Source organism: Homo sapiens, chromosome 19 (assembly GCF_000001405.40).
Source record: "Homo sapiens chromosome 19, GRCh38.p14 Primary Assembly".
NCBI lineage: Eukaryota > Metazoa > Chordata > Mammalia > Primates > Hominidae > Homo > Homo sapiens.
The window spans coordinates 10,626,179-10,648,611 of record NC_000019.10 but is presented as its reverse complement, the minus strand read 5'-3'; the positions used below and the strand labels follow the sequence as shown (position 1 = coordinate 10,648,611).

General features: G+C 52.4%; 1 protein-coding gene across 5 annotated transcripts in view, besides 1 other annotated feature; it reads right to left on the bottom strand.

Moving 5' to 3' along the window:
• Window positions 1-4,054: 4,054 nt before the first annotated feature.
• SLC44A2 (solute carrier family 44 member 2 (CTL2 blood group)) overlaps window positions 4,055-22,433 on the bottom strand; it is a 42,103-nt gene continuing 23,724 nt past the window's right edge. For 2 of the 5 annotated variants that reach the window (XM_047439113.1, XM_047439112.1), the window contains exons 2-22: window positions 22,311-22,359; window positions 20,817-20,890; window positions 20,608-20,692; window positions 17,471-17,555; window positions 17,227-17,337; window positions 17,077-17,137; window positions 16,863-16,986; window positions 16,661-16,744; window positions 16,456-16,568; window positions 13,725-13,856; window positions 13,539-13,638; window positions 13,357-13,449; window positions 13,097-13,181; window positions 12,027-12,289; window positions 11,856-11,950; window positions 10,865-10,968; window positions 10,683-10,756; window positions 10,519-10,589; window positions 10,297-10,385; window positions 6,161-6,245; window positions 4,055-5,715 (exon numbers count right to left, since the gene is read on the bottom strand). In XM_047439113.1, coding sequence (XP_047295069.1) covers window positions 5,594-5,715; window positions 6,161-6,245; window positions 10,297-10,385; window positions 10,519-10,589; window positions 10,683-10,756; window positions 10,865-10,968; window positions 11,856-11,950; window positions 12,027-12,289; window positions 13,097-13,181; window positions 13,357-13,449; window positions 13,539-13,638; window positions 13,725-13,856; window positions 16,456-16,568; window positions 16,661-16,744; window positions 16,863-16,986; window positions 17,077-17,137; window positions 17,227-17,337; window positions 17,471-17,555; window positions 20,608-20,692; window positions 20,817-20,890; window positions 22,311-22,359 — 2,099 coding nt within the window. In that variant the 3' untranslated portion in view covers window positions 4,055-5,593. The remainder of the gene's footprint in view (window positions 5,716-6,160; window positions 6,246-10,296; window positions 10,386-10,518; window positions 10,590-10,682; window positions 10,757-10,864; window positions 10,969-11,855; window positions 11,951-12,026; window positions 12,290-13,096; window positions 13,182-13,356; window positions 13,450-13,538; window positions 13,639-13,724; window positions 13,857-16,455; window positions 16,569-16,660; window positions 16,745-16,862; window positions 16,987-17,076; window positions 17,138-17,226; window positions 17,338-17,470; window positions 17,556-20,607; window positions 20,693-20,816; window positions 20,891-22,310; window positions 22,360-22,433) is intronic. The other 3 variants (NM_001145056.2, NM_020428.4, NM_001363611.2) reach the window with 2 other exon arrangements.
• Window positions 11,530-12,052: an enhancer, noted in NCBI's record as "H3K4me1 hESC enhancer chr19:10747236-10747758 (GRCh37/hg19 assembly coordinates)". NCBI's record gives its function as "activates a minimal SCP1, AML or CMV promoter by ChIP-STARR-seq in naive H9 embryonic stem cells {active_cell/tissue: H9 hESC(naive)}" and the evidence as "EXISTENCE:reporter gene assay evidence [ECO:0000049][PMID:30033119]".

Here is a 22,433-nt window from a genome sequence, read left to right as displayed (position 1 = left end):
TTCTCTCCTCCTTGCCTTAGTGACATCATCTGTCATCTGGCTATTCCTTCTCTCTTCCCTCCCTCCCACTCATTGGTTGAAGATTGAGGTCATCCCCCTCTTGTAATCTGTCAGTCTAGACAGGTCCTGTCACTCTCAGTGACTCTGCTGTCCTTACAGCCTCTCTATTCATTGTCTTCCTCATCTTGAAAGATTCCACCCACTCTCCCAATCACACCCAGTTAACTTCCCTCTCGAAAGCTTTTTGTCCTATGCCTGTTCCCTTCTTGCCCCCCCCCAGGGTGGACATGGGTGACCACTCTGGGATGGACACTGTGGGATGACCACAGTTGTTGGGGAACCATTCCTCTCCCTTGATCAAACTGTAGTCTAGATGGCAGGTCCCTGCTGCCTGACTCCCAAACTAGGCCCACACCTTGACTACAATGATTGACTCAATGATTTACAATGAGTAAATGATCATAATCAGGCTGGTCAGAGTCAGTGAGCTCCAGGCCTGAGACTTAGGAGCAAGAAAAGACTTTTCTGGCCCTCTAATCCCAACACTTTGGGAGGCCGAGGTGGGTGGATCAAGAGTTCAAGAGTTCAAGAGCAGCCTGGCCAAGATGGTGAAACTCCATCTCTACTAAAAATACAAAAATTAGCCGGGCATGGTGGCGGGCTCCTGTAATCCCAGCTACTCGGGAGGCTGAGGCAGAGAATTGCTTGAACCCAGGAAGCGGAGGTTGCAGTGAGCCAAGATCATGCCACTGCACTCCAGGCTGGGCGACAGAGCGAGACTCCGTCTCAAAAAAAGAGAAGACTTCTCATCTTAAAGCCAGGAAAATGTAGCTGCGTGCGGTGGCTCATGCCTGTAATCCCAGCACGTTGGGAGGCCAAGGCAGGCGGATCATGAGGTCAGGAGATCGAGACCATCCTGGCTAACATGGTAAAACCCTGTCTCTACGAAAAATACAAAAAAATTAGCCGGGGGTGGTGGCGGGCAGCTGTAGTCCCAGCTACTCAGGAGCTGAGGCAGGAGAATGGCGTGAACCCGGGAGGCGGAGCTTGCAGTGAGCCTAGATCGTGCCACTGCACTCCAGCCTGAGTGACAGAGCAAGACTCCATCTCAAAAAAAAAAAAAAAAAAAAAAAAAGGCCAGGAAAATGTATGATGTGTGTATTACTAGGTTTCTCCGAGAAAGCTAATAGGAGGTAGGTAGATGAGAGGGGATTTAGCAGAATAATTGGCTCATGTGATCATGGAGGCTGAGATGTCCTACCACATGCATTGACTGCAGACCCTGAAAAGCCAGCAGCTCCAGTAGCTGAAGACCCTGCAAAGCCAGTAGCGAGGCTCAGTCTGAATCCTAAAGCTTCAGAGCCAGGGACACCAATGGTGTAATTCCCAGTCCAAGGCCGAAGGCCTGAGAACCAGGGATCACTGGTATAAGTCTTGGAGTGTCAAGACAGGAGGAGAAGAGTGTCCCAGTTCTGAGGAGGAAAATGCTTTCTCTCCTTTTTCTGTTCTGTCGGAGCCCCAGCAAGTTGGATGGCGCTCACCCAGAAATAATGCTTTATCAGACGTGTTGCTCTGTCGCTCAGGCTGGAGCACAGTAGTGTGATCTCAGCTCACTGCACCCTCCACCCCCTGAGCTAAAGTGACCTTCTCACTTCATCCTACTGAGTAGCTGGGACAACATGTGCATGACCACCACACCCTGCTAATTTTCATAGTTTTTGTTGAGACAAGCTTTCCACATGTTGCCCAGGCTGGTCTCGAATTCAAGCTCAAGCGATCTGCCCACCTCGGCCTCCCAAAGTGCTGATTGCAGGCGTGAGCCACGGAGCCCAGCCACTGTTTTTTTTTTTTTCTTTGTCTTATTTTTACCACATCACAGCTCAAATCTGAGTATTTTCTAATCCAGCCAAGTTCACACCTAAAATTAACTATCACAGCACAGTGTGGTTGGAGGCAGGGAATATACCCAGATAAAGGAACTTGGCAGAGAGTGAAGCCAACCCAGAAGTGGAGCCAAAGCATGAAGCCAGAAAACACTATGGTGGTTCCTCAAAAAATTAAACATAAACCAGGCACAGTGGCGAGTGCCTGTCATCCCAGCTACTTGGGAGGCTGAGGCGGGATGATCCCTTCAGTCCGGGAGCTCAAGGCCAGCCCAGGTAACATAGTGAGACCCAGTGGCTTAATAAATAAGAAAGAGATGGAGATGGCAAATTTTATGCTATATGTATCGTACCACAAATCTTTTTCTTTCTTTCTTTTTTTTTCTGAGACAGAGTTTTGCTCTGTTGCCCAGGCTGGAGTGCAATGGTGTCATCTTGGTTCACCACAACCTCTGCCTCCTGGGTTCAAGCGATTCTCCTGCCTCAGCCTCCCGAGTAGCTGGGATTACAGGCATGTGCCACCATGCCTGGCTAATTTTTGTATTTTTAGTAGCAGCAGGTTTTCACCATGTTGGCCAGGCTGGTCTCAAACTCCTGACCTCATGATTCACCCGCCTCAGCCTCCCAAAGTGCTGGGATTACAGGCATGAGCCACCGCACCCGGCCGCCAGGAGCTATTTTTTAGGTGGGCATGGTAACAGGAGCTGGGGCTGAATAAAATGCCAGATTCAAAGGATCCAGGGAAACAAAGGCATCGAGGAAGGGGTCAGTGCCAGCATAGGGTAGAACTTGAGGACTCTGGAGCCAAGACCTGGGTTCAAATGCCTTCTTGGAAACAAACAAACAAAAATGCTGGCCAGGCTTGGTGGCTCATGCCTGTAATCCCAGCACTTTGGGAGGCCGAGGCAGGTGGATCACATGAGGTCAGGAGTTTGAGACCAGGCTAGCCAACATGGTGAAACCCCGTCTCTACTAAAACTACAAAAATTAGCTGGATGTGGTGGTACGCGCCTGTAATCCCAGCTACTCAGGAGGCTGAGGCACGAGAATCACTTGAATCCAGGAGGTTTAGTGAGCTGAGACTGTGCCACTGCACTGTGGCACTATGCACTGTGGCCTGGGCCACAAAGGGAGACTCTGTCTCAAAAAACAAACAAACAAACAAAAAAAACCAGCATGGGCAATATGGTAAAAATCAATCTCTACAAAAAATACAAAAATTAGTCAGGTGTGGTGGTGTGTACCTGTAGTCCCAGCTACTCGGGAGGCTAAGATGGGAGGATCACCTGAGGCTGTGGTGAGCCATGATTGCACCACTGCACTTTAGCTTCAGCCAGAGTGAGATCCTGTCTCAAAAAAAAAAAAAAAAAAAAAAGGCTGGGCCAGGTGGCTCACGCCTGTAATCCCAGCACTTTGGGAGGCCGAGGCCAGCGGATCACCTGAAGTGAGGAATTTGAGACCAGCCTGCCCAACATGGCGAAACCTGGTCTCTACTAAAAACACAAAAAATTAGCCAGGCGTGGTGGCAGGCACCTGTAATCCCAACTACTCGGGAGGCTGAGGCAGAAGAATCGCTGGAACCCGGGAGGTGGAGGTTGCAGTGAGCCGAGATCGCACCACTGCCCTCCACCCTGGGTGACAGGGCAAGACTGTCTGAAAAAAAAAAAAAAAAAAAAAAGTGGATATTGAAGAAAAATTCCCTGAGAGGAGGTGGAAAGAATTGAAATGTTGGGGCGGATTGCCTGGAGGTGACTGACACTGGCAGCTGGCACGAGGGGGCAGCAGCGAGCTTCCAGGCAGTGGGGCCCACCCCAAGGGCAGTCAGTCCCTTCGCAGATCCAAAGTAGCTGGGGAGCATAGTGACTGCAGGACCTCAGGTGCCTGGGCCCTGAGAGAGGGGAGGCCTGGGGGCGTGTGTCCAGGATGGGTGATGGCGGAGGTGGACAGGCTGCCTCTGCCTTCTGGAGTCCAGGGATTAGAGCCTAATCGGGAAATCTGAGCTGCCTGAAGGTTGGAATTCAGGCAGAGCCAGCAGCCAGTGGGTTTCCTGCCCCCTCCTCGTTCCCTTTGAGAGAATCGCCCTAGTTCAGAGACTCCTAGGGCCTTGGAAGCTGGGGTTCCCCCTACCAGCCGCCACTGGCTCACTGCCCCCAACAAACACACCAGGCCTGGACCTGTACAATAGGCACTTTATTAGTGGTTGGAATGCAGTTACACGCAGGGGTGTGCAGACGCAATGGGGGCAGGGCTGGTGCAGGCACAGGAAACGGGAGACCCCCCCCTCTTTCCCCTGGGGCCAGGAGTTCTCCCTCTCCAGGATCCTGGGACAGTGCTGATGAGCAGAGACATGAAGTCTGAGGGGGACTTGGAATATGGCAAAGGGGCAACTGGGAAGCCAGTTCCCCTGAGTTTGACAAGTTTGGCAAAAGGATCAAGTGAGGTGTGTGGGCAGAGGGGCCCGGTTTGCCCAGGACATCTGCCCTCCACCTCTCCCCCTGACATCATCCCTTGGGTGGGTTTAGTTTCTTTCCTCTCTTACAAAGAGAGCTGTGTCAATAACTGGCAGAGGAAGTCGGGAAATTCAGCCTAACTCCCTCCAGCCCAGCAGGTTTCCATTAAACAGCTATTAGCCATCTCCTCTCCAGCCTGCTCTCCACTGCCAACCCCCGCAAAACTCTCCCTCCCTTTCCCTCCTTCCCAGCCAGGAGACACCCCCACCTGGGCACACACACTCCCACCCGTCACTCCCAGCTAGGAGGGAGCAAAAGGAAGGCACTCCTTGGCGGCCCCATCTCAGCTGTTGAGACAGACGGAAAGAAAGCTAATAGACCCTTTAATGCATGTCCAGGTTAAAAAATAATAATAATAAAGAAATGCTTCTGGTGGCCCTTGAGCCAACTGTTCAGGTGTGGAGAAGGGGTTCAGTCCTGGCCGGAGCAGGCAGGAATAAACGTGGGTGTTCACTGTGGCCAGCAGCTCCCTCAGACACAAACACCGTCCTTCCTGTGGTCTGGCCCGTTGTCGTGTAAGCGGGGGACAGGAAGCATGAGGGAGCTTGTGGAGGTCGGGCCACGTGCCATCCCAGACATCAAGAGGCCCCAATGGGTTTTTACTTGTTTCTCGCAGTCTGGAGGGGCAGCCATGAAAACTCCAAGCGCCCCTTGGCATAAGAAGGAGATGCCCCAGACTCTCCACGTCCAGAAACTGGTGGGATCTGGCTCATGGGGAGGGGCAGAGCGGCAGTGATAGGACTTCAGGTGAGCCCAAGGGGCTGGGGGAACAGACCCAGCTACTGAGCACCCTGCGGCATGAGACTCCTTGAGAGGTGGGGAGCACGGGGCCTTCAGGACTCCGCTGCCTTCTTGTTGGTCTTGTTCAAGAGTTTCTTGAGGGTGGAAGACATGAAGTAAGGCCTCTCGGCCGAGCCGTCATTCCTCTCCAGGTCCTCCACTGTGGAGAGAGGTCCCAGAGCAGGAGGCATGAGGGGAGCCCACGGGCAGGGGCCTCAAGGACAGGGTAGGTGGATGAGGGTCACAGAGAAGCCTCAGAGGGTTAGAAAGCAGACACACTGGGACCAGAGAGGGGCAGACTGTAGTGGGCTCCGAGGGACACACAGGATCCCCACACTCGCAGGCCAGGAACCCCCCCGCTTCATGCACCCCCAGTCTACATGGAGGAAACCTGGCCCCCACGCCAGTCTCCCTCACTCTCTACTCCTCGGCTTCTGCCCGCTTCCCCTCCTCCGCACTCCCCTTCAACAGGATGTCTCTCAGCTCGGGCGACATGAAGTAGGGTCGCTCCTGAGAGCCGTCATTCCTTTCCAGGTCCTCACCTGGGCTCCCCCCGGGAACCGGCAGGGGGAAAATGGGGTGGTCGGGAAGGGAGGGAAAGAGGGAGGCAGGGAAGAACAGGGAAGCCAGCAGGCATGGAGGAGAGGAAGAGAGAAGAAAAAAACAAACAAAAAAAACAGATGGAGAGACCAGAGTTAGTGGCAGCCACAGATCCCCTCCCCCCAGTCAAAGCCAGAAACTGCGAAGCGCGGGCGGGCTCCAGGGCAGCGTCCAGGCTGCAGCCTGGGCCAGTGGACAGGAGGTCGGAGCTGCTTCTAAGCGCAAAAGGAAACCAGGAAGACAGGCTGGGGACCCAGGACGAGGGACAGCCAAGCCCTGGGGAAGCTGGGGGCAGGCAAGCGTGTTGCCCCGTTGGAGGGTGATGTGATGCCCAGTGGAAAGAAGGGATTCGGGGCCCAGCAAGGTTTGGGGTGAGGGGTCACTCACAGAAGCAGAGGAACAGCGTGTCCACACACATGCCATAGACGCTGAAGAAACCGTGTGCAATCAAGTAGGAGCCAACGATCACCGTCTGGGCAAGGAGAAACGAGCTGTCCCTGCTCCGTGTCCTTCCCAGAGCAGCCCCCACCCCCTGAGTCCATCCTATGCTGGGACCACATCCTTCCCCTGCTGAGAAACCCTCTTTGGATTAGTGACATCCCAACCCCTCACCCCCGCTGGCAGGGCCCCACCATCCACACAAAATCCTCTTTCTCTCTCTCCGTCTTTTTTTTTTTTTTTTGAGACGGAATCTCACTCTGTTGCCCAGACTGGAGTGCCATGGTACGATCTTGGCTCACTACAACCTCTGCCTTCCAGGTTCAAGCAATTCTGCCTCAGCCTCCGGAGGAGCTGGGACTACAGGCACGTGCCACCACGCCTGGCTCATTTTTGTATTTTTAGTAGAGACGGGGTTTCACCATGTTGGCCAGGCTGGTCTCAAACGCCTGACTTCAGGTGATCCACCTGCCTCGCAGCCTCCCAAAGTGCTGGGATTACAGGCGTGAGCCACCGCACACCCGGCCTTTTTTTTTTTTCTTTTTTTGAGACAGGGTCTCACGGTCTCACTCTGTAGCCCAGGCTGGATTGTAGTGGTGCAATCTCAGCTCACTGCAACCTCTGCCTCCTGGGCTCAAGTGATCCTCCCGCCTCAGCCTCCGGAGTAGTTGGGATTACAGATGTGCACCACTGTGCCCGGCTAACCTTTGTATTTTTTGTAGAGATGGGTTTTTGCCACGTTACCCATTACCCATCCTGGGCTTAAGAGATTCGCCCACCTTGGCCTCCCCAAGTGCTGGGACTACAGGTATGAGCCACTGCACTCAGCCTCACCCTTGCTTTCTTTAACCCCTGGGCCTCTGCATGTGCTATTGTCCTGACTTAAATCTAATTTATGCCCCATCGACCTTCTGCTTTCAGCTCAAAGAGCAAGTCCTCAAGTCCCACCTCCTCCAGGAAACCACCTACGACACCTAGAGTGGGCGTTTTTTTTTTGTTTTTTTTTTGAGACAGGGTCTCACTGTGTTGCTCAGGCTAGAGTGCAGTGGCCCCATCTCAGCTCACTGCAGCCTTGACCTCCCAGGCTCAAGTGATCCTTCCACCTCAGGCTTACAAGGAGCTGGGACTACAGGCATGTTCCAGCATACCCAGCTAATTTTTGTATTTTTTTGTGGAGATGGGGTTTTGCCATGTTGCCCAGGCTGTTTTCAAACTCCTGAGCTCAAGCGATCTGCCTGCCTCGGCCTCCCAAAGTGCTGGGATTATACATGTGGGCCCCTGCGTCTGGCTGAGAGCCTTTTTTTTTTCCCTCCTGAGACGGAATCTTGCTCTGTCACCCAGGCTGGAGTGCAGTGGTGGGACCTTGGCTCAGTGCAACCTCCACCTCCCGGGTTCAAGCGATTCTCTTACCTCAGCCTCCTGAGTAGCTGGGACTACAGGTGCGTACCAGCACACCTGACTAATTTTTTTGTATTTTTAGTAGAGATGGGGTTTCACCATGTTAGCCAGGATGGTCTCAATCTCCTGACGTTCATGATCCGCCTGCCTTGGCTTCCCAAAGTGCTGGGATTACAGGTGTGGGCCACCATGCCCGGCCTCTAGAGCCTATTTTATGTCCTCCTAGCACTGGGCACCCCTCCTGAGCTCTTGGTGCAGCTGCAATTTTATGCATGTTTAGGGCTTTCAGGTTTAATGCTCACATCCTCACTAGACCCAGTCCCATTTACTGCTGCATCCCTAGCAATCTGGAGACTCACACGGCCTTGGTAGCTGCTAGATAAACATTTGTTGACTGAAGTCAGTGGACCTGGCTGGGCGTGGTGGCTCATGCCTGTAGTCCTTGCACTTTGGCAGGCTGAGGCAGGAGGATCCCTTGAGTCCAGAGTTCAAGACCAGCCTGGCAATATAGGGAGACACTGCCTCTATTATTATTGTTATTATAGTAGAGCCTGAGCCACAACACCTGGCCTATCTCTATTATATTAAATTAAAAATTCAAAACAATGAAATGGCCAGGCACAGGGGCTCATGCCTTTATTGGCAGCACTTTGGAAGGCCGAGGTGGGTGGATCACCTGAGGTCAGGAGTTCGAGACCAGCCTGACCAACAGGGTGAAACCCCGTCTCTACTAAAAATACAAAAATTAGCCGGGCACAGTGGCATATGCCTGTAATCCCAGCTAGTCAGGGAGCTGAGACAGGAGAATCGCTTGAACCCGGGAGGTGGAGGTTGTGGTGAGCAGAGATCACTCCATCGCACTCCAGCGTGGGTGACAGAGCAAGGCTCTATCGCAGAAAAAAAAAAAAAAAAAAAAAAGTCAGTGGACCTTAGAGGATTAAATAATTTGCCCAAGATTACTCTTACTCATCTTAGAACTACTAAATAGAGGAACTAAAATAAGAAACTAGGTCAATGGGCTTCAAGACCTACACTGAGATACAATACTGCCCTTGCAATGAAGGCTCAATCCCTCCACAGCCTTGTTAACCTCCTTGGCCGTATCTCCACTTTTTTTTTTTTGAGAGAGAGTCTCACTCTGTCACCCAGGCTCGAGTGCAGTGGCGCGATCTCGGCTCACTGAAACCTCTGCCTCCCAGGTTCAAGCAGTTCTCCTGCCTCAGCCTCCCGAGTAGCTGGGATTACAGGTGCCCACAACCACGCCCCGCTAATTTTTGTATTTTTTTTGTAGAGACTGGGTTTCGCCATGCTGGCAAGGCTAGTCTCAAACCCCTGACCTCAGGTGATCCACCTGCCTCAGCCTCCCAAAGTGCTGGGATTACAGGTGTGAGCCACGGTGCCTGGCCCTTATCTCCACTTCTTTACTCCTTCCACGTCAGCCCCACTGCTTCCTGGCACACTCCCACCTCAGGGCCACTGTACTGTTCCCTCTGCCTGGATATTGCCTGCAGCTTCAGATCTCAGATCCAACATCACCTGCATGGCACCACCTGGACCCCCCCCACACCTGCCCAGCCCCCACCACAGTTTCAAACAGTTCCCTGTGCTATACAGACATACTCGTGGCATGTCCCAGTTTGCAATCATACATTCACCAATATCATTATGGAGGAGTATCTGTTTACCCCCAAACTCTAAGGCCTTTAGAGGGAAGCCCTCCACCTCGATGCCTGACACACAGTAGGTGCTTGATAATGTTTGTGGTCTGAGGTCGGGCGTGGTGGGTCACACCTGCAATCCCAGTACTCTGCGAGCCCGAGGCGGGCGGATCACTTGAGGTCAGGAGTTTGAGACCAGCCCAGCCAACACGGTGAAACCCCATCTCTATTAAATATACAAAAATTAGCCAGGTGTGGTGGTTCACGCCTGTAATCCCAGCACTGTGGGAAGCTGAGGCGGGTGGATCACCTGAGGTCGGGAGTTCGAGACCAGCCTGACCAACATGGAGAAACCCCGTCTCTACTAAAAATGTAAAATTAGCCACACGTGGTGGCTCGTGCCTGTAATCTCAGCTACTCGGGAGGCTGAGGCAGGAGAATTACTTAAACCTGGGAGGCGGAGGTTGCAGTGAGCTGAGATCACCCTATTGCACTCCAGCCTGGGCAACAAGAGTGAAACTCCATCTCAAAAAAAAAAAAAAGTTAGCCAGGTGTGGTGGCAGGTGCCTGTAATCCCAGCTACACAGGAGGCTGAGGCACAAGAATCGCTTGAACTAGAGAGGTGAAGGTTTCAGTAAGCCAAGATCATTTCACTGCACTCCAACCTGGGCAACAGAGTGAGTCTGTCTCAAAAAAAAAATTAAATTAAAATTAAAAAATAAATATACAAAAATTAGGCAGGTGTGGGGGCAGGCACCTGTAATCCCAACTACTCGGGAGGCAAAAGCTCGAGAATTCGCTTGAACCCGGAAGGCAGAGGTTGCAGTGAGTCAAGATTGCACCACTGCACTCCAGTCAGGGCGACAGGGCAAGACTCTTGATTCAAAAACAAACAAAAAGTTTGTGGTCTGAATAAATAATCAATTCCCCACCTCTGACCTCTATCCACATTTATCTAGTCAAAGAAGACCAAGCAAATCCCAACACCTCTTTCTTCCCAAACCCCCATCTCTCCCCAGAGGTCCATACCAGTATAGGAACCCAGTAATAATTGAGGGGTGGTGCTGTATCCTGCACGATCCTGATACGGTGGGTGAAGAAGAAGAAAGCCAGGATCCCTGGAGAAGGAGAAGAAAGCAAGATGGCGAAGGGTTCTGGATATAGGAAACAGCCTCCTAAGAAGATGACACTCATCACAGAAGACAGAAATCAGGCTCCCACACCCCGAGAGGCTAGGTGGGCGGCACTCACCCACACTACCAACGATCAGAAGTTTGCCCAACAGGAAGAGGAAGTCAGTAACTTTATCCAGGACAGCCACTCTGCAGGGGACAGTGAGGGGCAGGTGTGAATGCTGGCTTCAGGGACTAGGGGAAGAGGCGGGTGGCAGGAGGAAGATGATAATGATTCCCGACCTGATGATGTTTCTCATGAGCAGGAAGAAGGCATTCCTGGCCGAGGTGCAGAAATTGGTGCCGTAGATGGCAATCTGGAGGAGAGTGGGAGGGAGAGATCAGACCCACTGGGTGGGCATGGGGGGTGGTCCTCTCACCCAGCAGGAGCTGGCGGGTTGGTTGGGGGTCCCAGGCCCACTCACCATGATGTAGGCATTCCTATTAAGGAATTTGATGAACTTCTCCAGGCACCAGAAGCAGCATTTGAGACAGGTCATGAGGCACTTGGCAAACTTGTTCTCTGCAGCTGGAAGAGAAGGGAAGGGATGTGGAAGTGAGGGGACACCAGCCTGACTTGGAAGGGATCCCCTCTTCCCTATCACACACACTTGCCAATGTCCAGGTCTCCTGAGTCCACGCTGTCAAAGAGACAGGGACTTAAGCCCAGGAGTTTGAGGCTGCAGTGAGCTATGATGGTGCCACTGCACTCCAGCCTGGGTGACAGGGTGAGAGATCCTGTCTCTAAAACAAAGTACCATCAATCCCAGCCCCAGAGCCCTTCCTCTAAGAAAAATAAACCAGTTTTTTTTCCTTTTTTTGAAATGGAGTCTCGCTCTGTTGCCCAGGCTGGAGTGCAGTCGCTCGGTCTCGGCCCACTGAAACCTCAACCTCCGGAGTTCAAGTGATTCTCCTGTCTCAGCCTCCCGTGTAGCTAGGACTGCAGACGCACACACCACCATGCCTGGCTAATTTTTGTATTTGTAGTAGAGACGGGGTTTCACCATGTTGGCCAGGCTGGTCTCCTGACCTCAGGTGATCCGCTCGCCTCAGCCTCCCAAAGTGCTGGGATTACAGGCGTGAGTCACGGCGCCCGGCTAATAAACCAGTCTTATTCCTGCTCTCTTCAGCGCAAATATATACCACTCCAATTCACTCTGGTAATAACCAATGGTGGGCCAGGCCTCTTGGGCCTGTCCCCTCAACAGCAAGAATTCCACCCAGTAGGTTCTCTGGTTTGCTCCTCCATCGCAGGACTCAATCACGCCAACTCCTGAACTCCACCCCGTCATAGACAGAAACCCATCACTGCTCTATTATCTTGGCCCCGCCCACCTCCAAGCAAGACCCAATCCTGGTTCGCTATTCAGCCTCGCCCCGCAACAGGAGCTAATGCGAACCGTGGGTGGGACGTACCTTTCAGCCGCTGATCCAGGTACTCGAGTATCACACGGATGATCTGCACAATGGCCAGGATGAGCGCGCCAAAGGCCAGGGAGCCTGTGTGGTACCTGCGGGCCGAGGGAGTGGTCGGTGGCTGGGCCAGGCCTCGTCCTCCACCCCATCCTGCCTGCAACGCCAGCCCACCTGAGCGCCCGGCCAAAGGCAGAGAAGAGCGGGAAGGCCGGCAGGTCGTCCGGCTTGCGCAGGGCCCAGTAGTAGGAGGCAAAGGCCCCGGCCAGCGTGACCTGGCCCAGCGCCAGCACGAAGTTGGCCAACCAGAAGAACATGAAGGCATTGAAGATCTGCAGGCCCAGCAGGGCCCGGTGGTAGCCCGACTCACCACCGTAGAAGGCGAACTGGCAACGGGCATTGGGGCATTGGCGGGACTCATTGGAGGAGGGGAAGGTCTGTGGGAGAGAAGGGAGAACCGAGTCCAAAAAGAGGCACCAGGGGTTCACAGTGGGCTCTGAGCATCAGGTGTGGGGCCAGGAAAACCATGAGGTAGGACAGGAGACATAGGGATTGAAGTTAAGGGAAGGAATTAAGAGTTCAGAATATGGCTTGTGCAAAGGAAGGGATTCTAGAAACAAGACGTGGCCATCACTGGGGTCAAGAAGAGGGCATGGAGACAGGAAATGAAATGGGGAAAAATGGGCCGGGCGAGGTGGCTCACACCTGTAATCCCAGCACTTTGGGAGGCAGAGGCAGGTGGATCACGAGGTCAGGAGATCGAGACCATCCTGGCTAACATGGTGAAACCCTGTCTTTACTAAAAATACAAAAATTAGCCTGGTGTGCTGGTGTGTGCCTATAATCCCAGCTACTCGGGAGGCTGAGGCAGGAGAATCGCTTGAACCAGGGAGTTGGAAGTTGCAGTGAGCTGAGATCATGCCACTGCACTCCAGCCTGGTGACAGAGCAAGACTCTGTCTTATTAAAAAAAAAAAAAAAAAAAAAGGAAGTAGGGAAAAATGGGTGATTTAGCACCCAGGGTGAAGGCCTGGTCAAGTTGAAGAGAGGAAGCCAGCTTGCCCTGGGAAGTTGTTCGATCCAGTTAGAGAGTCTCTTCCCCACTGTGCGTCCTCCCCCACACCTAGCACAGGACATGCAACAGGGGCCAATTGTTTGCTGAACCTCCAAGTGGACATGAGAGGTTTCAAATCATCTGGGGCCTGCTGGGGCAATACCTGCCCTCCCCACCCCGGGGACGCCCACCTCTGGGTTGCAGGTTTTCGCAGTAAATGGGCAGGGGCTGTCATCAAAGATCTTATAGACCGCTTCGTTGGAAGTGGACAGGAAGCTGGAGGTTCGTTAAGGAAGCAGAGGTCTAGGACTGAGGACCCCAGGGACTTTTGTGGGAAAGAATCCATTCTCCCACCAGTTTCCAGCCCTATCCCTAAGCTGCAGGTCACTTCTAGGCAAAGTTGGTCTTTAGCCATCCCTGGGGTCAGAGATCAGTGTCTGGGGGCAGATACACAGCAGTGCTGGCCCAGTAGGCGATGCAGAGGCACAGCAAGAAGAAGGTGACCAGTGGGTAGAGCAAGGAGCACATGACGTATCCCACAGCCCTAGGGAAGAGCAGAGACACAGGCGTCAGGGCAAAAGACACAACTCTAGGGACAGCTCCATCCTGGCCCCTGGCACCCTGGCCCCCCACCTGCTGGCTTCTTTGATGAGTGCAATCGCGATGAGAATTCTCTTCCGGAGAAAGATGAGCAGCAAGATGATAATGACTTCAAGGATACTCAGAATGATCACTGCAAAGGGCAAAGGCTGAGCCGGCTGGGCTCCCCACTCCCTCCAAGGCCTCATGTGGGGGCAGGAATGGGAGACTGTGACTCACTAAAGGCCAACCAGGTCTGCCGTAAGTGCAGGTACACCCGGAAATCCGTCTGAAAGCCGAGGTCCACCAAAGAGACATCAGAGCCGGCCTCACCACGCAGTCGGGAGTACTCCATGTAGCAGTGAAATATTCCTGCATGGGGGAACCACAAGCTCAGTCCAGCAGTGCCTCCTGCAACTTTGCAAAGCAGCTACAACTGCCCCCATTTAACAGAAGCAAACATCGAGGCTTCTGCCTCAGGGACTTTACACTTGCAGTTCCCACCGCCCGGTGCATTCTCTCCCCATGGCTGGATCCCACACATCCTTAGGTCTCTGCTCAAGTGTCACCTTCAGAAGAGAACTTCCAGAACCCTTTCCCCCTACTTGGAATCATAATCATATGCTGCCATGGTCTAAGTTCTCTCTCTTTTTTTTTTTTTTTGAGACGGAGTTTCACTCTTGTTGCCCAGGCTGGAGTTCAATGGCACAATCTCGGCTCACCGCAACCTCCACTTCACGGGTTCAAGCGATTCTCCTGCCTCAGCTTCCCGAGCAGCTGGGATTACAGGCATGCGCCACCATGCCCGGCTAATTTTGTATTTTTAATAGAGATGGGGTTGGCCGGGCGCGGTGGCTCACGCCTGTAATCCCAGCACTTTGGGAGGCCAAGACGGGTGGATCACGAGGTCAGGAGTTCGAGACCAGCCTGACCAACATGGTGAAACCCCGTGTCTACTAAAAATACAAAAAAAAAAAAAAAAAAAAAAAATTAGCTGGGCGTGGTGGTGGGCGCCAGTAATCTCAGCTACTCAGGAGACTGAGGTAGGAGAATTGCTTGAACCCGGGAGGCGGAGGTTGCAGTGAGCTGAGATCGCGCCACTGCACTCCAGCCTGGGCGACAGTGAGAGACTCTGTCTCAAAAAAAAAAAAAAATAGAGATGGGGTTTCTACATGTTGGTCAGGCTGGTCTCGAACTCCCAACCTCAGGTGATCCGCCCACCTCTGTCTCCCAAATTGCTGGGATTACAGGCGTGCGCCACCGCACCCAGCTAGAAACCACTATTAATATGAATATTTTACTATGAGTGTCCTCAAATTGGATTGCCAAGCATTTTTCTTCCAGGAAAGTTCAAGGAATAATCAAAATATGGGCCAGGCACAGTGGCTTGCGCCTGTAATCCCAACACTTAGGGAGGCCAAGGCGGGAGGACTGCTCAAGCTCAGGAGTTCAAGACTAGCCTGGGCCACATAGGGAGAACCTGTCTCTACAAAAATATTAAAAATTTAGCCAGGCATGATGGTGCTTGCCTGTGGTTTCAGCTACTTGGGAGGCCAAGACGGGAGGATCACTTGAGCCCAGGAGGTCAAGGCTGCAGTGAGCTGTGATTGTGCCACTGAACTCCAGCCTGGGTGACAGAGTGAGACTCTGTCTCAAAAAACAAATCAAGGCTGGGCGCGGTGGCTCACGTCTGTAATCCCAGCACTTTGGGAGGTCGAGGCAGGCAGATCACGAGGAAGTCGAGACCAGCCTGGCCAATATGGTAAAACCCCATCTCTACTAAAAATACAAAAAAAATTAGCCGGGCATGGTGGTGTGCGCCTGTAATCCCAGATACTCGGGAGGCGAGGTAGGAAAATTGCTTGAACCCGGGAGGCAGAGATTGCAGTGAGCCGAGACTGCACCACTGCACGCCAGCCTGGGTGACAAAGCAAGACTCCGTCTCAACAACAACAACAAAACAACAACTCAAAAACAACAAAAATCCAAAATATGAAGCACTGTTTTGTTGAGCACGATATTGTGCCTCTGGATTCCACAGGCCTGAACTAAACAGGCCCCTACCCATATTTTATCTGCTCATTACCTCCTTGTCATTTAGTTTGCCAACTAGAAATATGAATTACCCTCATTTTATAGAGAAATAAATTGAAGCAGTCCGGGCGCGGTGGCTCCTGCCTGTAATCCTAGCACTTTGGGAGGCTGAAGCGGGCAGATCTCCTGAGGCCAGGAGGTCGAGACCAGCCTGACCAACATGGAGAAACCCCATCTCTACTAAAAATACGAAATCAGCCGGGCATGGAGGTGCATGCCTGTAATCCCAGCTACTTGGGAGGCTGAGGCAGGAGAATAGCTTGGACCCAGGAGGCGGAGGTTGCAGTGAGCCAAGATCGCGCCATGGCACTCCAGCCTGGGTGACAAGAACAGAACTCCGTCTCAAAAAAAAAAAAGAAAGAAATTGAAGCACAGTTAGGTTGAGGCACTTGCCCAAAGAATTGGCAAAGCCAGGATTTGAACCTCTGCTATTCTGATACCAGAGTATGCATCCTTAACTACGGTGCTGAGACATTTTTTCTTTTTTTTTTTTTTTTGAGATGGAGTTTCGCTCTTGTTGCCCAGGCTGGAGTGCAATGGCGTGATTTCGGCTCACCACAACCTCCGCCTCCCAGGTTCAAGCGATTCTCCTGCCTCAGCCTCCTGAGTAGCTGGGATTACAGGCATGCACCTCCATGCCCGGCTGATTTTGTATTTTTAGTAGAGACGGGGTTTCTCCATGTTGGTCAGGCTGGTCTTGAACTCCTGACCTCGGGTGATCTGCCTGCCTCGGCCTCCCAAAGTGCTGGGATTACAGGCGTGAGCCACCACGCCCGGCCTGACTTTTTTTTGTTTTCCTGATGGGCCATTTCCACGGGAAAGGGCAGGGCAGTGTGCGGATTCAGGAAAGAGAAGCCACAGGGAGGGGGTGACGCACCGTAGCCCAGCACCAGAATCACCATGATGATCATCACCCAGACCATAATACCAGCCAGGAAGCGAAGCAGGATGATGAACAGGAGGCTCATCGCCATGGCAATGACCAGGCCTCTGGGGAAAAGAAAACGGTCATGAACAGACTCCACCCTCAGCCAGGCTTAGAGGGGGCAGCCAGGGGAGAGGCCCCTTCCCTCCTGACTTACATGATAATCCAGTACCAAGAGACGGTGTAATCTTCAAATATGCGCATGGCGAGTTGCCGCGCCTCTAGGACTCCATTGGCTTTCCTGGGGGAAGGAGGACAAGGCTCGGGTCAGACCCTCTTCCATGATCAGGCCAACCACAGGGGATTGCCTGTCCCACCCAGCAAAGTGAGACCCTGGCGCGGTGCGCCAATATCCTCACTTGGCGCCCTCCACCAGGTCTGTGATGTTTTTCCGGGAGCCATGCCCATCCTCATAGGTCGTCTCATTGCCCACCATCAGGACACCCTTGTAGGCGTGGATAGCGGGGAAGCATCTCCGGGCCACTGCATGGAGCAGAGGATGGCACCAGTCAGGCTGAGCCTCTGCAGAGCCTCCCCGTCACCACCTGAGCCTCCTGGGATCCCCTGACTCACAGGGTTTGCTGGGGATGAGGACAGCAGGGCAGTCACCATCTTGAAGCACCTCAGCCACTCCCTGCCAAGAGAGATGGAGGGAGGTGAGTCCCCAAGTCTAGTACACTGCCACTGCCCATACCTGTGCTCTCAGGACAGTCTACAACTCACTTTATTGTTCTTGAAGCCAGGAACACAGAACTGCTTATAGTACTCAAAGTCCCGGGAGCTGCGAGCATTCAGGTACGTGAGGTAGCGGTCGGGGCATTTTTCCACGCAGATCTGGGAGGGGAGAAGGAAGGGATTGGGTGGAGTTGGGGCAGACTGCTCAGGACTGAGGTCGCAGCCCACATTCACAGGGGGAAAAGGATGGGAAGCGGGGAGAGGAAAAAGGGAACGGTGGGGACCAGGTTACCTGGGGAGTGGGACATTGGAATTCCAGCAGAACCAGGGGGCTGGCACATTTCACAATGTTGAAATAAAACAGATAGGGTTTGTTCCTGGAGTTAGAGAAGGGAGAATGGAAACTGTTAAGATTTTTTTTTTTTTTTGAGACAGAGTCTCGCTCTTGTTGCCCAGGATGGAGTGCAATGGTGTGATCTCGGCTCACTGCAACCTCCGCCTCCCGGGTTCAAGCAATTCTCCTGCCTCAGCCTCCCGAGTAGCTGGGATTACAGGTGCCCGCTACCAAGCCCGGCTAATTTTTGTATTTTTAGTAGAGATGGGGTTTCCACCATGTTGGCCAGGCTGGTCTCAAACTCCTGACCTCAGGTGATCCGCCTGCCTTGGCCTCCCAAAGTGTTGGTATTACAGGTGTAAGCCACCACACCCGACCTGTTAAGACTTCTTAACCACCCTATAGAAAACTTTTTTTATTTTTCTCTTTTTTTTTTTTTTAGATGGAGTCCTGCTCTGTTGCCTAGGCTGGAGTGCAATGGTGTGATGTGGGCTCACTACAACCTCCGCCTCCTGGGTTCAAGCAATTCTCCTGCCTCAGCCTCCCGAGTAGCTGGGACTACAGGTAGGTGCCCGCCACGATGCCCAGCTAATTTTTGTATTTTTAGTGGAGACGGGGTTTTGCCATGTTGGCCACACTGGTCTCGAACTCCTGACCTCAGGTGATCCACCCGCCTCAGCCTCCCAAAGTGTTGGGATTATATGCGTGAGCCACTGCGCCCGGCCTCTTTTGTTTTTTTTTCTTTTTTGAGACAAGAGTCTTTCTCTGTTGCCCAGACAGAGCGAGCAGTGGCACAATCTTGGCTCACTGCAGCCTCTACCTCCTAGGATCAAGTGATCCTCCACCTCATCCTCCTGAGCAGCTGAGACTACGGGTGTGCGCAACCACACCTGGCTAATTTTTTCTATTATTGGTAGCGACAGAATTTCACCATGTTGCCCAGGCTGGTGTCAAGCAATCCTCCAGTCTGGGCCTCCCTAAGTACTGGGATTACAGGCGTGAGCCACCGTGCCCGGCCTATTGTTTCCTTTAAGATATTTTATATGGCCGGGTGCAGTAACTCACACCTGTAATCCCAGCACTTTTGGAGGCCAAGGCAGGCGGATCACCTGAGGTCAGGAGTTCGAGACCAGCCTGGCCAACGTGGCGAAACCCCGTCTGTACTAAAAATACAAAAAATTAGCTGGGTGTGGTGGCGGGCACCTGTAATCCCAGCTACTTAGGAGGCTGAGGCAGGAGAATTGCTTGAACCTGGGTGGCGGAGGTTGCAGTGAGCCAAGATCGCACCATTGCACTCCAGCCTGGGCGACAGAGCGAGACTCTGTCTCAAAAAAAAAAAAAGATATCTTATATAGGGCCAGGCAGGGTGGCTCAGGCCTGTCTTGTGCCAGCACTTTGGAAGGCCCAGGTGGGAAGATCGCTTAAGCCCAGGAGTTCCAGGCTGTAGCGAGCTATGATCCTGCCACTGGCTGACAGAGTGAGACACTGTGTCAAAATAATAATAATAGTAATAATAATAATAGGCCGGGTGTGGTGGCTCACACCCGTAATACCAGCAGTTTGGGAAGCCAAGGCAGGCAGATAACCTGAGGTCAGGAGTTCGAGACCAGCCTGACCAATATGATGAAACCCCGTCTCTACTAAAAATACAAAAATTAGCTGGGCATGGTGGCATATGCCTGTAATCCCAGCAACTCGGGAGGCTGAGGCAGGAGAACCGCTTGAACCCGGGAGACGGAGGTTGCAGTGGGCTGAGATTGTGCCACTGCACTCTAGCCTGGGTAACAAGAGCAAAATTCCGTTTCAAAATAATAATAGTAATAATAATAATAATAATAGTTTAAAAACTGCAGCATCAGCAACTCTATGCCAGGTGCCATTCTTTTTTTTTTTTTTGAGATGGAGTCTTGCTCTGTTGCCTAGGCTGGAGTGCAGTGGCACGATCTCGGCTCATTGCAACCTCTGCCTCCCAGGTTCAAGCAATTCTCCTGCCTCAGCCTCCTGAGTAACCGGGATTACAGGAACATGCCACAATGCCCAGCTAATTTTTTTGTATTTTTAGTAGAGACGGGGTTTCACCATGTTGACTAGGCTGGTCTTGATCCTCCCACCTCAGCCTCCCAAAGTGTGCTGGGATTACAGGTGTGAGCCACCACGCCCAGCGATGCCAGGTGGCATTCTAAGCTCTGTACATGTATTGGCACATCTAACCATCAAAATAGCCCCATGAGGGTGGGACTGTTATGATCCTCATTTTAGAGATGAGGAAAACGAGGTTCAGAGAGATTGAGACACCTGCCCTAGGTCACAGAGCCAGGAAGTGACGCCACTCAGGCTATGCTTGCTCTGTTGTCTCACCTGTTCATCACCACCTGACGCGTAATCCAGGACTGTCCCCTCTCAGTCTCTCCCGCCCTTAAAATGTGTGCTGCCAGAGAACAGGATGCTTACTATCTCATTTAGAGCTGTGTGTCCCCAAGGACTAGACTAGTGGCTGAGGGTAGTGGGACGTTTATCAGTACTTGTTTTCTTTTCTTGTTGTTTTGTTGAGACCAGGTCTCGCTCTGTCGTCCAGGCTGGAGTGCAATGGTACAATCATACCTTACTGCAGCCTTGGCCTCCCAGCTCAAGCTATCCTCCCACCTCAGCCTGCTGGGTAGCTGGGACTAGAGGTGTGCCCCACCACGTCCACTTAATTTTTGCTTGTTTGTTTTGAGACAGAGTCTCACTCTGTGCCCCAGGCTAAAGTGCAGTGGCACGATCTCGGCTCATTGCAACTTCTGCCTCCTGTGGTTCAAGTGATTCTCCTGCCTCAGCCTCCTGAGTAGCTGGGATTACAGGCATGTGCCACCATGCCTGGCTAATTTGTGTATTTTTAGTGGAGACGGGGTTTTGCCATGTTGGCCAGGCTGGTCTCGAACTCCTAGCCTAAAGCAATATTCCTGCCTCGGCCTCCCAAAGTGTTGGAATTTCGGGCGTGAGTCACCGCGCCCAGCCTATAAGCACTTGTTAACTGGACTTAGAGAGATGGGGAATGCCTAGAATCTTCTGCCCCCTCTTCCCCAGCCCCACCAGGCCGCAAGGAGTCAACTCACTCGTTTTTTGTGCCCTTCTGCCCGCAGAACTCGCCCCGGCTGTCAGTGGGGTAGATCACCTTTCGAGGGTCTCCATGAGTCCAGGCTGTGGAAAGATCCAGGGATACTGAGACACTGCCACTCCTCAGATCCAGCCCTGTTCCCACTCCAGAGGCCATGGCTGCCTCCGCCTACCCTGCAACTCCAAGTCCTGCTCATTCTCTACTCACCTATGATGCCTACAGCCACGTAGCCCACAATGGCCAGGAGCAGGAACACACAGCATATGATATCCGTGCAGCCCCTGGGGAGCAGAGGGGCAGTGTTTGGAGGAGGCTTGGTGCTGTGTGCACCATGGGCCCATCTGCCCTCTGCAAACACCCTCATCCATGTGTTATTTGGACAAATTTTCCTGAGTCGTTTGAATGCCGTACCAAAGGGCACATGCATTTTAATTTTTATTTCATTTCATTTTTTAATTTTGTGCAACAGAGTCTCACTCCGTCATCCAGGCTGGAGTACAGTGGCATGATCATAGCTCACTACAGCCTCGAACTCCTGGGCTCAAGTGATCCTCCTGCCTCAGCTTCCCAAGTAGTTGAGACTACAGGTGCACACCACCACACATTTTTTTTTTAATTTATATACATTCTGTAGAGACAAGGTCTCGCTATGTTGCCCAAGCTAGACTTTTTTTTTTTTTTTGAGAGGGAATCTCACTCTGTCGCCCAGGCTGGAGTGCAGTGGAACGATCTCAGCTTACTGCAACCTCTACCTCCCAGGTTCAAGCGATTCTCCTGCCTCAGTCTCCCAAGTAGCTGGGATTATAGGTGCCCGCCACCATGCCCAGCTAATTCTTGTATTTTTAGTAGAGACAGGGTTTCACCATGTTAGCCAGGCTGGTCTCGAACTCCTAACCTCAAGTGATCCACCTGCCTTGGCCTCCCAAAGTGCTGGGATTATAGGTGTGAGCCACCGTGCCTGGCTGTATTTTATTTTTTTGTTATTTTTTTTTGAGACAGAGTCTCGCTCTTGTCCTCCAGGCTGGAGTGCAGTGGCGCAATCTCAGCTTACTGCAACCTCCACCTCCCAGATTCAAGCAATTCTCCTGCCTCAGCCTTCTGAGTAGCCTCTGAGTAGTCACAGCTACTGGAGAGGCTGAGACAGAAGACGTGCTTGAACCAGGAGGGGAAGGTTGCAGTGAGCTGAGATTGCACCACTCCAGCCTGGGTGACAGAGTGAGACTCCATCTCAAAAATAAATAAATAAATAAATAAATATAAACATGGTAAAAATTAAGTCCAGGCCAGGTGTGGTAACTCACACCTGTAATCCCAGCACTTTGGGAGGCCAAGGCAGGTGGATCGCTTTGAGCTCACGAGGTCGAGACCAGCATGGGCAACACAGCGAAACATCTCTGCTAAAAGTACAAAAAAAAAAAAAAATTAGCCAGGTGTGGTGGTGCAAGCCTGTAATCCCAGCTACTTGGGAGACTGAGGTGGGAGAATTGCTCGAACCCGGGAGGCGAAGGTTGCAGTGAGCCGAGATTGAGATCGCGCCACGGCACTCCAGCCTGGTGACAGAGCAAGACTCCATCTCAAAAAAAAAAAAAAGTTTCAAATATTTGTCACCAGTTTGTTGGAGAACAGATGGGAGGGGGTGTGAAGAGACAGGGATTGGGGTAGTATTAGCGGGGAGAACCCCCCAAAACCCAGAGCTCTTACCTATTGTAAATGGGTCCTTTGAAAGTGGGATCATACTTCTGTGGCGTTCCTGAAAGTCAAGAAGATTAAGATGGATGGGATTGGAGACCTGAACCAAGACAGGGCTGGGAGAGCCCCCTCCCA